This window comes from Homo sapiens, chromosome 8 (assembly GCF_000001405.40).
Source record: "Homo sapiens chromosome 8, GRCh38.p14 Primary Assembly".
NCBI classification, from domain to species: Eukaryota; Metazoa; Chordata; class Mammalia; order Primates; family Hominidae; genus Homo; species Homo sapiens.
In genome coordinates, this window is record NC_000008.11 from 142,384,720 (window position 1) to 142,402,597 (window position 17,878).

The 17,878-nt window shown below is 50.8% G+C and overlaps 1 protein-coding gene across 36 annotated transcripts in view, besides 1 other annotated feature; it reads right to left on the reverse strand.

The window, feature by feature from the left end:
• The window catches only part of TSNARE1 (t-SNARE domain containing 1), a 194,950-nt gene that overhangs the window by 172,640 nt on the left and 4,432 nt on the right, over positions 1-17,878 (reverse strand). The gene's annotated exons all lie outside the window — the stretch shown is intronic.
• Positions 11,893-12,394: an enhancer, noted in NCBI's record as "H3K4me1 hESC enhancer chr8:143477973-143478474 (GRCh37/hg19 assembly coordinates)". NCBI's record gives its function as "activates a minimal SCP1, AML or CMV promoter by ChIP-STARR-seq in primed H9 embryonic stem cells {active_cell/tissue: H9 hESC(primed)}" and the evidence as "EXISTENCE:reporter gene assay evidence [ECO:0000049][PMID:30033119]".

Consider the following 17,878-nt stretch of genomic DNA (forward strand, 5'->3'; position numbering starts at 1 on the left):
TAAAACTCTTACAAGAAAACATAAAGGAAAACATGCATGATGTTGGATTTGGCAATGATTTCTTAGCTATGACAGACACCAAAAGCACAGACAAGAAAAGAAAAAAATAGATGGGATTTTATCAAAATTAAAAACTTTTGTACATGAAAGTACACTATCAACAGACTGCAAAGGCCACTCACAACATGGGAGAAAATATGTGCCAGTCACGTGTCTCTTGAGGGATTAACATCCACAATAAGTAAAGAATTCCTACAACTCAACAACAACAAAAAATCTGATTTTAAAAGTATCACACATGATAGAGACAAGAAAAGCGAATTAAATGAGGTGAGAGAAAAGCGAATGAAATGAGGTGAGAGAAAGAGAGAGAGAGAAAGGAAGGAAGAGAGGGAGGGAGGGAGGAAGGCAGGCAGGCAGGCACTTATAAAGGGAGGAAAAACCAGCCAGGCCACAGATTCCTCTGAAACAACACTCGAGGTCAAAAGACAATACAGTGACACCTCCAAGACCCTGAAAGGATGGCAGCCCAAACCAAGGGCTCCAGCAACATTCAAACCACCCCGCAAGCCAAGAAGCCACAGCTTTGAATATGCAGCACTTAGGGACTGTTCCCACCCACCATTCTGAAAAAAACACCTTCAAAACAAACCTCAGCCAATCAAAAGCTGACAGAGGAGATGCCGTCAAAACGACTGTCAATGAGCATGAACTATTAATATATTTACCAGTAGATTTAAGACTAAAACAAATGTGAGCTTGGGGTGACAGAACAGAATGCAGATAAGCCCTGACTATGGAGTAATGACTCAACTGATGACACCTGGGAGGGGAATACGACAAGAGGGAGTGAGGTAGAACAATTAGCTCCTCACCTTATTAGTAAGAACTGGAGTCAAAGGATATCATTTAAAGCTGACATTTCAGTAACAGAAATACAAGTAGATTTAATAGTATAAAGGCAAACACTGAGAAAGGTACTATTGTCATCAAAAATTGGTGATGGGAGGAAGAAAACAAAATACATTCATTTTGTAATTACTCATAGAAGGTGTACTAGTTTCCAATGACTGCCATATCAAATCACCACAAATGTAGCTGCTTAAAACAGACAAATTTGCTCTTTCACAGCTTCTGTAGGTCAGAAGTCCAGCTGGGCCATGTTCCTACTTGGAGACTGGGAAAATAACTCGGATTGCAGGAAGAATCCAGGTCCCTGTGGCTACAGGACTGAGGCCCTGTTTCCTTCCTGGCAGGGGACCACTCTTAGCCCCTAGAGTCCTTGCATCTAGGGGCCAGCAAATCCTTCTCACTCTTGGGACCTCTCTAACATCCTCCTTCACCACATAGCTCTCATTTCTTGCCAGAGAATGCTCTCTGCTTTTCAGGACTCAGATAATTCAGCCTTCCCAGGTAATCCAGGATAATCAATCTACTTTGAGATCCATACCCTTTAATCACATCTGCAAAGACCCTTTTGCCATGTAACATGACATGATCACAGGTGTTAGGGATTAGAGTGTGGCTATCTGGGGAAATGGGAGAACATTATTCTGGCTATCACAGAAGGTACTTAATAAATGGTCCCTCTCAACATGAAGTATTAGAGGCATTTATGAATTACATAAGATACTATAATATCTCATATAGACAAAAGTATAGACTCTCTTCAATATAAGAACTCTTTAAAATTTTTAAAAAGGAAAGAAAATGGACCACAGAGTAAAAGACTTAACAATACATGCACACACAAAGCACACCACCACTCAGGTCAAATGTAGGTTACCTATCAATAAATGTACATTAGTTTAACTTCACTAGGCAAGAAAAAAAAAAGATTCCCCAATTGAATTACAAGGCAAAATCTAACTTCACATGGTATAAGAGACACATTTAAAATAATTCGGTAGAGTTAAAATTTTGTAATGGGCAAAGGTATGCCAAGCAGATACAAACTCAAGAAAGCACTAGTTATGACCTTATAGTCAGACAAGTAGAAATGAGACAAAGAAGGGCACTTTGATCCTAATGAATGCACTTGAGAATAAAAATGTAATAGTTATAAATAGCTACGCAACAAATCACATAGCAGCCAACACTCACAGGAGCCACAAGGAGAAACAGACAGAAACATATCAATGGTAGACATTAATTCACTCCTCTCAGTCCACAACAGAGCAAGAGACAGAAACTAAGTAAGGATTATACATGACCTAAATAACACAACTAAGGCGGTAAAAGTGATTGATATACACATCAAACTTCCGTAACCCAAAACAAAAACTCAATCCTCTTTTCCAGCCTCAGTGGAACAATGATGAAAACTGACTCCAAATTAGGAACATAAGAAACCTCCCGAAACCCAGAAGTTCAAGAGGGAATAGTCAATATTCTCTCACCAAAATGCAATTAAAACTGGAATAGTAACAAAATCAGGAAATTAAAAGACTTGTTACTTGGAAATTTTAAAACTTGCTCCTGAAAAACTCTCGAACCAAAAAGAAAATACAAACCAAAATTGCAGAACTTCTAAACAGCAATGATAAGGAAAATATGTCTCATCAAAACTTAGGCATCAGCCCTCGAATACAAAATAAGTTTGAAAAGAATAATAAAAAATGAATCAAGCATTCACACCAGACATTTAGAAAAACGATAAGATAAACTGAGGAAAATCAGAAGGGATTATTATTAGCAAAAACAAGGGAGTTTAAAAAGCAGAGAAATAAGGCAATTAATTTAATTTAAAAATTCAAAAGCTGAATCTTGGAAGAAAAAATAAAACAATAAAATGGAAACTATTCACTAACCTAACCAAGAAAAACAAGAGAAGCAACCGAGACGGAAATAACCGCAGAAACCAAAGATATTAAAAGAGTCACAGAAGATCATTTTACTCAAGCCTACATGAATAAATTTGACAAACAGGATGAAATTGATAATCATTTGGGAAAATATTTACAAAACTGATCCCAGAAAGTTCAAACAGAGTAATTTCCATAGGGAAAATAATAAAGACAAAATCATAAAAGAACTTTCATCCTCAAAACGAAAACAAAACAAAAAAGCACCAGGTCCCAACAATTTCACAAAGGAATCTAACCACTCTTTAGAGACCAGGCAATTCAGTGCTATTAAACTATTCCAGAGAATGGCATAAGAAATATAACTTCTATATTATGTTTATGAAGCAACTATAATGTTGATATCACAACCAAAAACAGTGTACATACAAAAGAAAACTACAGACCAACCTTAATTATGAAGAGCAATACATAAAAATCAATTAAATATCAGCAAAAAGTACATTCACCAGCACCTTAAAAGAATTATGTATCAGAGCAAGTGAAGTATAATCAAGGAATTTAAGAATCTTTCATTATTAGCAACTTCGTTTGTATAATTCACTATATTAATATGTCTTAAGAAAAAAATCATATGATCACCCCATAGATGATTTTTTAAAAAAGCAACTGACAAAATTCAATAATGATTCTTGATTTTTTAAAAAAGAAAACATGAAATAAAATAGAAAGTACAGGTTTTTCATTAACATACCTTTCTCAATCCAAAGCCATACTCTGCTTTATGGAGTTAACAGCAGAGACATTCCTAATAGGTGTCTACTAAAAACACCATTAGCTACCATCATGCTGAAGGATCTAGTCCACAAAAATAGGTAAGAGAAAGAAACTAGAGTATAAAATTGGAAAGGATAAGGTTAACCATCACTATTTGCAGTTCACATGAATGGATACCTTGAAAACCCAAGATAATGAACTAAAAAAAAAAAAAAAAGAAGAAATCAGTAAGTTAGCAAAAAACAAAATCTTTTTTTTTTTTTTTTTTTTTTTTTGAGACAGAGTCTCGCTCTGTCACCCAAGCTGGAATGCAGTGGGAGGATCTCAGCTCACTGCAACCTCCACCTCGCAGGTTCAAATCATTCTCTTGACTCAGCCTCCTGAGTAGCTGGGATTACAGGCACACGCCACCATGCCCAGCTAGTTTTTGTATTTTTAGTAGAGACGGGGTTTTGCCATGTTGGCCAGGCTGGTCTCAAACTCCTGGTCTCAAACGCCTGACCTCAGCCAGGTGATCTGTCTGCCCCGGCCTCCCAAAGTGCTGGGATTACAGGCATGAGCCACTGTGCCTGGCCCAAAATTAATATTTAGAATGCAATAGTATTCACACACATATGTGATAAATAAAGAAGAAAATATTCCTTGGAACAACAATAAAAGGGATAAAATTTCTGAGGATAAAGAACACCTGACTCAAAACATACCACAAAGCTACAGTAATCAAAACAGCATGGTGATGACATAAAAACAGACAAACAGCCTAACGAAACAGGATAGAGAGCCCAGAAATAAATCCACTCATTCATGGTCAAATGATTTTAGACAATGGTTCCAAGAATTCACAATGAGAAAAGGACAGTCTCTCAATAAATGATGCTGGGAAAACTGCTTCTCTAGATACAGAAGAATAACAGTGGACACATCTCACACCATATACAAGAATCAACTCAAAATGGATTAAAGACAACCATTTAGTCCTAAAACCATAAAACAACTAGAAGAAAAGGGAGCAAAAGCTCCACAACGTCAGTCTGGGCAATGATTTTTTTAATATGACCCCAAAAGCAAAGGCAATAAAAGTGGAAATAAATGGGGTTACAGGATAATTTGGCAATGTACATCAAAATTACAAAAGTGTGTACCCTTATTGACCCAGCACTTGTTCTGAACATTTATCCTGCACATATATCACACTTAAACATGTGCAAAGCAGCATATGAACTAGACCACCCATTTTGTAATAGGAAAAGATCGAAAGTCACCTAAATGTCCAGCCCCAAAGGCCTATGAAATCAGTCTGAGCATATCCACACCATGGAATCCTCTGTGACTGTCAGAGACAAGAAAGGAACCCTGGACTGATTCCAAAAGATCTCCACATCACTTACCATATTAACACTTCGTCAAGGGAGGGAGGGATCCAAGGTGCAGGAATGTGTCATATCATGACTTGTGAAAGAAAAAGCAAAAAAGAAATGTTTATGTTTGCTTGGAATGTATAATGAAGCTCTGGAAGGACAAACAGTCATTCTTTGCTTAACCATAGGGATACAATCTGAGGACTGTATCATTAGATGATTTCCTCACTGTGCAAACATCACAGAGTATATCTTCACACACCAAATGCTGGAGCCCAATACACACCCAGGCCATGTGGTAAAATCTATTGCTCCAGGCTATAAACCTGGACAGCAGGCAAATGTACTAAATGCTGTAGGCAACTGTAACAGAGTGGTAAGAATCTGCATATCTATACATATCTAAACATAGAAAAGGTACGGCAGAAATACAGTTTTAAGGATTTTTTTAAATGATACAACTGTATAGGGCACTTACCATGAACGGGGCTTGCAGGACTAGAAGTTGCCTGCGTGCGTCAGGGAGTGAGTGGCAAGTGAATGTGAAGGCCTGGGACATTACTGTACACTTTGGGGGACTTTATAACAGACGCTGTACACTGCTGGGGACTCCGTAACAGACGCTGTACACTGCGGGGGACTCCGTAACAGACGCTGTACACTGCGGGGGACTCCGTAACAGACGCTGTACACTGCGGGGGACTCCGTAACAGAAGCTGTACACTGCGGGGGACTCCGTAACAGACGCTGTACACTGCGGGGGACTCCGTAACAGAAGCTGTACACTGCGGGGGACTCCGTAACAGACGCTGTACACTGCGGGGGACTCCGTAACAGACGCTGTACACTGCTGGGGACTCTGTAACAGACGCTGTACACTGCTGGGGACTCTGTAACAGACGCTGTACACTGCAGGGGACTCTATAGCAGACGCTGTACACTGCTGGGGACTCCATAGCAGACGCTGTACACTGCGGGGGACTCTGTAACAGAAGCTGTACACTGCGGGGGACTCCGTAACAGACGCTGTACACTGCGGGGGACTCCGTAACAGAAGCTGTACACTGCGGGGGACTCCGTAACAGACGCTGTACACTGCGGGGGACTCCGTAACAGACGCTGTACACTGCGGGGGACTCCGTAACAGACGCTGTACACTGCGGGGGACTCCGTAACAGACGCTGTACACTGCGGGGGACTCCGTAACAGACGCTGTACACTGCTGGGGACTCTGTAACAGACGCTGTACACTGCTGGGGACTCTGTAACAGACGCTGTACACTGCAGGGGACTCTATAGCAGACGCTGTACACTGCTGGGGACTCTATAGCAGACGCTGTACACTGCGGGGGACTCTGTAACAGACGCTGTACACTGCGGGGGACTCTGTAACAGACGCTGTACACTGCGGGGGACTCTAACAGACGCTGTACACTGCTGGGGACTCTAACAGACGCTGTACACTGCTGGGGACTCTGTAACAGACGCTGTACACTGCTGGGGACTCTGTAACAGACGCTGTACACTGCTGGGGACTCTGTAACAGACGCTGTACACTGCAGGGGACTCTATAGCAGACGCTGTACACTGCTGGGGACTCTATAACAGACGCTGTACACTGCTGGGGACTCTGTAACAGACGCTGTACACTGCTGGAGACTCTGTAACAGACGCTGTACACTGCTGGGGACTCTGTAACAGACGCTGTACACTGCGGGAGACTCTGTAACAGATGCTGTACACTGCTGGGGACTCTGTAACAGACGCTGTACACTGCTGGGGACTTTAAAATAGACACGGTCCCCACTTGCAACATTGCAGGTGACAAGAAGGAAGGAAGAGCTGCAGCTCTTCAGCTCTTCAGCAAGCCCAGACCTAGAAACTCCTTGAGCCAGGGCTCTGGCACCCTCTTTGGGGCTCTGCGGTTCCTGGCGCCTCCAAGCTTCTAGCGCCACCACGTTCCCCTCATCCAGACGCGGGTGCTCACAGTGGAAGCCGTGTGCAGTACATCTGGTCCAGCCGCAGCCTTGCATGGAGCCAGCACCTGTGCCAGCACCTAGGGCTGCCCGCCCTGCCGCAGCAGCCGGCATGCCTGGCTGTGCACAGTGGCCAGACCCATGTTCGCTCACCCACACGCCCCTCACTGCTCCATGCCTGGCTCACCCTTGGCATGTGTGGGATCTGGGCTGGTAGCACGAGCTGAGCACAGCCTACTGGGCTGAGTGGGCGGAACAAGCCTAGCGGGTGTAAGCACCACTCAGGCAGAGGCACCGCCAGCCACAGAGGTTTCCAACGGTCTAAGTGACACCCCAGGGATCCCGTGACAACACCTCCTGAAGGCCCTGCCTGAGGCTGTTTTGCAGTTCATTTTTTTCTTTTTTTGAGACGGAGTTTTGCTCTTGTTGCCCAAGTTGGAGTGCAATGGTGCGATCTCAGTTTACTGCAACCTCCGTCTCCCAGGTTCAAGTGATTATCCTGCTTCAGCCTCCCGAGTGGCTGGGATTACAGGGGCGCACCACCATGCCCGGCTAATTTTTGCATTTGTAGTACACAGGGTTTCACCATGTCGGCCAGACTGGTCTCAAACTCCTGACCTCAGGTGATCCACCCACCTCGGCCTCCCAAAGTGCTGGGATTACAGGCGTGAGCCACCACACCCAGCCAACTTTTTTTTAATAAGTAAAAGGAGTACACTCTAAAATAACGATAAAAAGTATAGTATACACAGAACGGTAACATAGTGTTCATTATCAAGTCTTACGTAGCGTATGTGCTGAACTGTTAGATGACGGGCAGTGTAGCAGGTCTGCTTGCACCAGCTCTCCACACACACGTGAGTGATACCCTGCACTACATCATGACCATCAGGACATCACCAGGTGACGGGAATTTTTCGGCGCCAGTATAATCTTACAGGTCCACCCTCGTCTATGCCATCCATCATTGACCAAAACGTCCTTATGCTTCACGTGACTGTGTGAGAAACTCACAAGAGGCCAGGCATGGTGGCTCACACCTGTAATCCCAGCACTTCAGGAGGCCGAGGTGGGCGGATCACCTGAGGTCGGGAGTTTGAGTTTGAGACCACGCGGGCCAACATGGCGAAACCCCGTCTCTACTAAAAATACAAAATTAGCCGGGCATGGTGACACATGCCTGTAATCCCAGCTACTAAAGAGGCTGAGGCAGGAGAATTGCTTGAACCTGGGAGGTGGAGGTTGCGGTGAGCCGAGATTGCACCACTGCACTCCAGCCTGAGCGAAACTCCGTCTCAAAAAAGGAGAAAAAGAAAAAAAAAAAAAAAGAAAGAAAGAAACTCACAAGAGTGGCTGCTGTGGAGATGACGGCTGGGCCGGCCAGGGATAGGGATACTTTCTACTGGATGCTTCCTGCCATGTTTTAATTGTCAAACTACCTAAACTATTCAAAATAGTAAAGTAAAAGGTCATTAGAATAACCTGTGGGCCATCCACACCGTGGAACAGGCCTCTCAGCAACAGGAAGAAACCACTCCTGGCCCCTGCAGCAGCCCTGAGAACCATCCGGGGAACGATGGCGAATAGAAAAAGCCAATCCCCGGCCACACACTGCAAGATTCCATTTCTACGACTCGCTTCAACTGACGACATTACGGAGATGGAGAGCAGACTGGTGGCTCCCAGGAGTTAAGGAAGGGTTCATGGCAGAAGCAAGGTAGGCTTCGCTGAAACGGGCACCGACACAGGGCTCCTCTGAGTGATGACGGAAACCTCTGGCATGGCGGCCGCGTCGGCCAATCCGCTGGCTGTGCTACTGTCCTCGTTCTGCACAAAGCTACCACGGGGAAAACTGGGTGAAGAGTGCACAGGATCTGTGTATTATTTCTCACAACTGTATGTGAATTTACAATGGTCACAATAGTTTAATTTACAAAAAGATCCTGAGATGCCAAACGCCACGCCCGAAGGTGCTGAGAGAGCAGAGGCCACATTCTCCCTGGTCTGACTCCCCGAGCACCTGCCCCGTCCACTCCACCACCTCCTGGAGCAGAGGCCTAGAGGGAGGTGAAGTGTCACACAGCCCACCCTCTCCTACTGCAGATAGGGAAGCCCAGGAGGAAAATCGAGGGAAAGCCTGGGCAGCAAAGGTGGCCGGTTCACAGCACAAGCTGCCTGGCTACGTGCTGGTGTGGCATCCCTCGTGCTGCTCAACCGAGACTTCCAGTTCTCCTCCCTCGGGGAGTGTGGGGCACTTCCTGGCCTCTTGTGGTTGCAGCCGTGTGGTTCCTCCTGGCCAATGAACTGTGAATCCCCAATGAACACACACCTTTGTTGCTTCAGGCTACTAAAACCTGAGGGATGTTCATTACGAAAGCAAAACCATACAGGTTACATTCTCCACCCGTCCAATCACAGCTCTGCCCACGCTGGCTGCCCGTCTTCACTCCTTGCTGGGCTGGGAGGCCCTCCTGCCCTGGCTAAGGCAGAAGCCTGCAGGCTGCCCGTGGGCCCCACGCTTATGCCTGCGGCCTCCAGTGGCCTCCATACCCTCTCACACCGGTTAAGGTGTCAAGATAACAGCTTTGGGGGCAGATACGCAGAAAGACGGGAGGTGCTCTGCCCATCGGACCACCCTGCCAGACTGAAGGAACCAGGGTGTGGGCACCCCACAGCAGCAGGGCGGGTGGACCGGACAGCTCGGACCTCTTACTCCCCATCTGTAAACTGGGGAGTGAAAGCAGTAGCTACAGAATCTTTTCTCCAAACACAACCGTACTCAGAAAACACCAAGTGAAACAGATCACATCAGAGCTGCTCTGGGTAAAGGGAGGGACGATGATGGCAGCAGGTCTAAGACTAGAACCTCCGGGGTTCCAAGGCACAAATCGACTCACCTGGAAGTGCCCCACAGTCCTGGGCCCATTTCCCATGGCGCAGTGTGGGAATGACAGGCCACAGTTTCTACGGCCAGACCCCACGGGATTCCTCCCACAGCTCTGCTCTGTGCTTGCTTCATGGTCTTGGGAAACTACATCACCTCTCAGGTTGGACAGAAAACAACTCCCACCTCCCTGCTCCAACCAGGGGCAGCAGGGCCACCATGCCATTGAGCTCTAAGCTGTGGGATGGTCCGCAGGGTCACCGCAGCACTCCCCACGCCCCAGCTGCCAGCGTGCCTGTCCACGTCCCTGTGTGCCCTGCCAAGTCTCCTCTGCTGGCAGCATCCCAGGCTGTGCCTGCGCCCTGGGGACAGTGAGGTGCGCTAAGGGTGCAGGGCCCTAGAAGCCAAGTCTCCATAAGGAGAGATGCAAGCAGGTGACCCGGTCTCCCTTCCGTAAGATAGGGTGATGGTGTCACCTTGGAGGCTGCTCTGGGAATTCAGGACCTGCCCGCCTGCAGGAAGCATCGCTGTTCCTGTCCCCCACCACTTCCTGCTCCTGGCAGGGAAGGGGGGCGGCCCCGTGCATCAAAGGCTGAGCGGCCTAAAGGTGAGGCTCAGCTCCTCCCATGGTTATCTTGTGCCCACTGTGGGCATTTTCCTGTGCTGGGACCACAGAGACAGAAAAGACAAGGTCCTGGCCCTGGAGGAGGAAAGCTAATGACTGCAATGCAACAAGGCCCAAGCCACGCAGAGCCACTTCCCAAAATCTGCAGCCCTCTCTCTACCTTGCCCTCCCCGGGAGGCACCAGGCCCTCAGGATGAGGGGATGGGGCTGACTCCTGACGGCGTCCCCCAGCGGAGACTTCAACAGCCCAGGAGGTCACCAGTCGGGGCCACTCCAGGCAGAGGGGCGGCCCCAGCAAAGACACGGGGGGCAGGCTGCAGGCAGCCTGCGGAGTCAGCGCAGCAGGTTTCCCAGGGGCTGGAAAGCCCATGGAGCACCGCAGATGCCAAGTGACAGTGAGGCTGGAGCTGCCAGGAAGATCTGTCGCCAGGGGGCGGCACCGCCGGATCTACCCCTCAGCAAGATGCAGAATTAAGGGGCCCAGGCTGGAGGCTGTGACCGGCGAAAACGCCCAGGTACCACGAAGCAGCAGAAGCAACGGTTCTCCCCACTTGCAATTCCGCCTCCTGCGCCCACTCCCAGCACACCACGCTCATCAGCACCTTCCCACAAGTGAGCAGCAGCGGGAAGGAGGTCAGACTCCCAGCAAGGAATCCAGCTCCTCATTAGCACCGAGGGCAGCCAGCCCAGGAAGGAGGCTGCTGTGTTGTGTTGCTTCTTTCTAATGTTGGGAGAGACTGATTCTGGGCTCTGGTTTAAAAACATGTCCCCTTCCAAATACTTCGCTAGAATGGATCATGGGTCCAGATGGAGGGCAGCCAAGGTGGCCCGCTCTGTCCAGGGCAGACGCCTGTGGCTCTCTTTGTCCGTGGCTCTGTCCAGGGCAGACGCCTGTGGCTCTCTTTGTCCGTGGCTCTCTGACAGGACCCTTGATGACCCATGCCCTCAGAACACTGGCCCTCATCTTCCCCAGACCATGCCACACTCAACTCCTTCACCATCACCCCTCCAATGCCCAGCTTCCCATTGGTACAGGTTCAGTGTGCACCCCTCAGATGACACCCAGGGTCAGGCTCAGGCGATAAACACAAACACACACACACACACGCACACACCCGCGCACCTGGCCCCAAAGCCCTGGAAACGCTTGACTCAGCTAGACACCATCCACAGGCAACCACAGCCTCTGGGGGCTCACACCACCCCGACCTCCTAGCCTCAAGCCTTATGGGAACAAGAATCTTGAGCTCCGCCCACCTCCCCTCTCCATCAGAAATCTCAACCTCCATACCTGGATTCCTTCAAGCCTGTGAACCCCTGCCACACTCTGCTCTGGAACATCATCTCAAGATGGAAGGGAGGGACAGGATTAGGTCTTTATTAGTGCAGTAATTGCCATTATTAATAACATCCTCTAACTCAACAGGGAATTTTTGTTTGTAAAGCTGCTTCCAGCCTGGTCCCCCTGGAGAGCAGCAGGGCAGGATCGCCAGGTGGGCCGGGCAGCAGAACGGTGAGCAATGCCTCTGATTTCTGCCTCTGATCAGAATCCTGGTGAGAACACCAGGGCTCAAGTCATGGCTGGGCATTTACCACCCCCGTGACTTCAGGTAAGTTTCCCAAGGCTGGGAAGTTTCCTGATCTGAGGAGCAGGAAGAGCCTAGCAGGTGCCTGACAGATGCCCTGTGGTCAAAAGCAGGAGGTGTTGTTATAATCAGAATCCAAGACAGCCTGACGCTCAGGTCTACTGTGCGAGCTGGCCGTGCCATGGCTGACCAGGTAGAGCAAGCTCTGTGATGTGTGTAGCAGTGGCGAGGCAGCCCGAGGGTCTCACAGGAGAGAGGCAGCTCCACCTGCCCTGGGGCTGCACTCCCTGACCTTCCACAGCCCCTATGTGTGGCAGTGGCGAGGCAGCCCGAGGGTCTCACAGGAGAGAGGCAGCTCCGCCTGCCCTGGGGCTGCACTCCCTGACCTTCCACAGCCCCTATGTGTGGCAGTGGCGAGGCAGCCCGAGGGTCTCACAGGAGAGAGGCAGCTCCGCCTGCCCTGGGGCTGCACTCCCTGACCTTCCACAGCCCCTCTGTGTGGCAGTGGCGAGGCAGCCCGAGGGTCTCACAGGAGAGAGGCAGCTCCGCCTACCCTGGGGCTGCACTCCCTGACCTTCCACAGCCCCTCTGTGCACCTTGGGAATTCTTCCCTACACCCCTCAGGTGATGTCCCCCAAGACGCCCGGAGATTCCAAGTCTCTGGGACAGACACAATGCTGCCCACCTCCCAGGAGGCTGCAGGATCAGACTAATGACATGGAAAGGCAGGGCTCCTGGAGGGGCCAAGTGACATGGCCAGGGTCCCACGGCTAAGATGTGGCAATGCTGTGTCCCTACCTGGATGTTACGTAAGTCAGGGCTGGGTTGTAGCCCTCCCCACAGGGCAAATCAGAGGGAGAAAACGAGGCAATCTTCCACTGTGGAAGAAAACAACAGTTGATCTGGCCACAGCACTGGGCCAGAGGCTCCCAGGCCAGCGTGAGTGCCTGGCTCTGCTCACTGGCTTCCATGCTGGGGAGGGCTCGAGCCTGCAGCCTGAAGCCCAGGGTTGCCAGGACAATGAGCAGCAGCTGCTGCCAGTCCACTCAGCTGCGTGGCTAGCCCACCAATCCATCGAGGGGGCCCACAGCGCAGCCACCACAAGGCACCCAGCACACAGTGCCAAGGCATGGAGCCTGGCCCCTGCAGGCTCCAGACACAGGCCCTCGGTGTGGCACTGCTCCACCCAGCCCTGTCTCCAGACCTCTTCGGCAAACCTCAGCCTGGGCCCCGGGTTCCCTGCTCAGCACCAACAGCCATCAGAAAAGCCCAGGCCTCACCCTGCCTCCCAAGACCCTCACAGGCTGACCCGAGTCAGACCTGCCTACTAGGAGTCCAGCACTGCTGTGCCTTCCCTTGGGCCTCCCGCTGCCTGGAGTAGCTGCCTCTCCTGCCCTCCCCAGCTAAGGCCACTCAGCTCTCCAGACACAGCTCAGGCCTCACCAGCATCCAGGATTCTTCCCAGGTATCTACCCAGCCCTGCCCAAAACGCACCCCCAAACCCTCCCAAAGCGCACCCCCAGCCCTGCCCAAAACACACCCCTAGCCCTGCCCAAAACATGTCCCCAGCCCTGCCCAAAACACACCCCCAGCCCTGCCCAAAACACACCCCTAGCCCTGCCCAAAACATGCCCCCGGCCCTACCCAAAACACACCTCCAGCCCCAAAATATGCCCCCAAACCCTCCCAAAGCACATCCCCAGCCCTGCCAAAGCACAACCCCAGCAGAGTCAGCTCCCCTCTCCACCTCCTCACTCCACCGCCTCAACCTTGCTCTGTAAGGTGCCCTCTCCACCTCCTCACTCCACCGCCTCAACCTTGCTCTGTAAGGTGCCCTCTCCACCTCCTCACTCCACTGCCTCGACCTTGCTCTGTAAGGTGCACAGCAGTGTCCGGAGCAAGGCCAGGACAGCCTGATCCTGCTTGCCACTGTGTCCATCCCAAGACTCATGCCAGGCATGGCCTTAGCATAGTCTCACAGAACATTACACATCTCAGACAGCAGCCCTGATGGCAGGGGCAGGGGCTGGGGACTTGCCAATGACCCTGTCCAGGCAGGAACACCCAGTAGACTGTCCTGCTTGCCTGCAGTGGCCCCCAAGTGGGTTCACATCCTAACAGGACCTACCCAAGGACAAAAAAGGAAGGGCCCTGTGCAGCACAGTCCGGATTTGAAGCCCACACGGAGCCACCTTCACCCCCATCCCAGACTCAGCAAGCCGCAAGTTGACGAGAGAATCTCATAGCCTGGATAAGGCCAGGCAGGACAGCCACAGCTGGCTTCTGAGGACAGCCCTGGATGGCAAGCAGGACACCCCGAAGCAAGGCCCCTGCAGGAGACACCGCCCAACTGGGCTCCGTAGGTGAGGACACCCCGCCCATAAGGCATCTTCAGAAACCTATTCAAGGCACCTGGCTTGTCATTGTTGGTAGTGCCCTTCTTCTCTGCCAGGGAACTCAGACCAAGAAAACTCTTCCTATGGAAGCTTCCAGATGGCTCCACCATGCAGCACTAACAGGAAGGATAGTGGAATAAGAACAGCACAGGCTCAAGATCAGCTGTGAAACAACCCCTCACGTCTTCAGCAAATCCCCATCGGGCATTCACTGGGCCCCAGGCCCTGGGCCACAGCTGGATGGACGTTCAGAGACGCACAGCTCCCCGCGGGTGGGGTGGCAGACAGGGAGGTGTGGAAAGGTACAGAGTCCACCACTGGCGCTGGGGACCGTGGGGGCAGGAGGAATGATGATCTTCCCCAGCTGCCTCAATGCGCCCAAGAGGGAGAGGATGAGGATGCCCTCAGTACAGAGAGCAGAGCCAAACATAAGCATCCACACTGAACAACTGACTGTCACCTCTGGAGGGACAGCGCCGGCCATGAGCTCTCCAACTCTCTCACTCACTCCTTCTTGCCTTTAGTCTTTTGGTCACCACTGCTCCACACACAGATGCCACAAATGTTTAGACAGGGCTGAGCATCCCAGCAGAAAGCAGAGGAATCTGAGAGGAGGGCTGCTCAGGAGTCTGCTACTATGGACGATGCACAAATCAGACTTTAAAGAACACAATGAATGACAGCTGGACTGGGCCACAAGGTCAAAGTCTACTTGTAGCAAGTAACACCATCCAAACAAACCCAGTAGCCACAGAAACGCCCGTGTGCATTAAAACAAAAAGCCTGGAGCCAGACGCCATGACTCACGCTGGGAATCCCAGCACTCCGGGAGGCTGAGGCCAGAGGATGGCTTAAGGCCAGGAGTTCAAGACCAGCCTGGGCAACTGGGCAACACAGTGAGACACGCCTATCTCAAAAAAAAAAAAAGAGGTGGCTGGGCACGGTGGCTCACACCTGGGATTACAGTGTGTGGCTCAGGCAGGTTGATCACCTGAAGGTCAGGAGCTTGAGTCTAGCCTGGCCAAAAAGAAGAAGTGGCTGGGCACAGTGGCTCACGCCTGTAATCCCAGCACTTTGGGAGGCTGAGGCAGGTTGATCACCTAAAGGTCAGTAGTTTGAGTCCAGCCTAGCCAACATGGTGAAACCCCGTCTCTATTTAAAATACAAAACATTAGCCAGGCGTGGTGGCAGGCCCCTGTAATCCCAGCTACTCGGAAGGCTGAGGCAGGAAAATCACTTGAACCCAGGAGGCAGAGGTTGCAGTGAACCAAGATTGCACCAACGCCCTCCAGCCTGGGCAACAAGAGGGAAGCTTCTCAAAAAAAATTAAAAGGGCCGGGCACGGTGGCTCATGCCTGTAATCCCAGCACTTTGGGAGGCCGAGGTGGGTGGATCACAAGGTCAAGAAATCAAGACCATCCTGGCCAACATGATGAAACCCCGTCTCTACTAAAAATACAAAAAATTAGCCAGGTGTGGTGGCAGGCACCTGTAGTCCCAGCTACTTGGGAGGCTGAGGCAGGACTCCGTGTCAAAAAATAAAAATAAGAAGAAGACAGCCTAACCCCTAGCCAACTGTTCTTATGGCCAAACACCACTCAGAGGGATAAAACGCCCAACAACCTCGGAAGAAATGTGTCTGTCTGGGCTGAACAAATGACGTCCTAGAACCCGACAGTTGAGGGACTCACGGCAAGATCACCATTCTGTGTCTCAGTCTCTCCATCTGGGAAATGGGGACAACAGACCCTCCTCCCAGGGTGACTGTGAGAGTAAACTGAGTAATGAACACAGTTCCCTGGTCACCTGGCACCAGGAGGTGCTGTGACCAGTATCATTAGTGTCACCACCTGCAGACACTCACCACCCCTTTTCAGGACCGTGGAAGGATGCACCCACGCCGTGTCGCGAATGGCTTGGTACAGCCATGGTCGAGGCATGTTTGTCTTTCCTCCCCACCTGGAAGGTGACTCCCCAACTCCGCCCACCTGGAAGGTGACTCCCTGATTCCATCTCAAGCTCCAGCATCGTGACCTAGCTGTACTTCTCACCACATTCTCCTCAAAGTCTTACGTGTCCAGTGTATTTATTCATCAAAACCTGCTAGGTGCTTATCCTACTCTCGGTGCTGGGTGGGGTGCTCAGGACACAAGGGTGACACAGCAGAGGTCTATGCCACAGAGGCTCCCAGGCACACAGGAGAGACAAACACGGGAGTGCCAGGGCATTCCAAGCAGAAGGCTCTGCATCGACAGGCACACCAGTGAGAAAAGCCACAGACTATGCAGGAAAAATGACTGCACTGTCAGGGACATAAAGCAGGGACTGAAGATGTGGCAGGAGCTGCTGGCAGGAGCCAAACCCAGGACCTCGCTCTGCAGGCCATGAGGAGCTGTGGAAGAGACTTAGGGACACCTGGCTGCCCATGAGCCCCTAGACTGAGTGCCTAGGTCTAGGCTCTTGACCCAGCATCTACAGAAGGCCAGACTCAGGGGAAGTGTCCAGGGAAGGTTCCTGGATAGAGTCAGAGCAGCCAGAGGCTGCCAGATGTTCATGGGGCCAGGCCAGCAGAGGAGGAGAGAAACAGAGGTGACCCAGCCAAAACTCAACCTCCTCCAGGAAGTCGTCTTGGATTTGCCAGCCTCCCACAGCCACCTGCATTCACGGCCTGTGCTGCTGTGTCCAAACATTTGTTCTACCAGATTTCTGCTGCGGTCCTGTGATGTATGGGGTCGAACGGTATGAAAGCAGCGGTTCAGTCGGGGGAAGCACTCCAGTACTAACAAACTTCAGCTTTCTTTCAACTCAATACTGTGTCCACACTGGGAGTATCCTAAGCAACAATCCCCACCCCTGTCTCACAGGCACTAAAGATAAAACAGAAAACAAGCAGATGAGTGACAATGACAAACAAGAAATACTGTAGGGAGAGCGGTCAGAAAGGTGAGCTCAGACATACCGGAAGCGGAGCTGCCCCCAAGCCAGGAGCGAGCCAGGAACTAAAAGAAGAGGCAAGTGTGCAGCAGAGGAAAGAAAGGGCGCCAGGTGTGGCTGGAAAGGCACCTGGCAGGATGAGGGGCGGAGAAGCACCGGCGGAGCAGCACGCGCGAGGCCCATTTTGAGCCGCACCACACCGCTCACAGAACTTCCTGTGATAAGCAGTGTTCCCTACCCGCGCTGCCCCACACAGCCGCCACCAGACACGTGTGGCTACTGAGTGTCGGACATGTGACCACTGGCACGGAGGACCTGAATCCTTCACGTTAAGGACAATGTAAACAGCCACACATGCCTAGGGGCTACCACACTGGACATGGCAGAGCTTCCAGAGCAGGAGGAGTGCGCCATGAGGCAACAAACACGAGGTCCCTGGAGAGTTTCTGCGGGGGCAGCACAGATCAACATCACCTGAAAGTCCCTGGTGGGGATGTCGCAGGCCCCAGTACCCAGGAAGCACCTTCTTACAACTTGG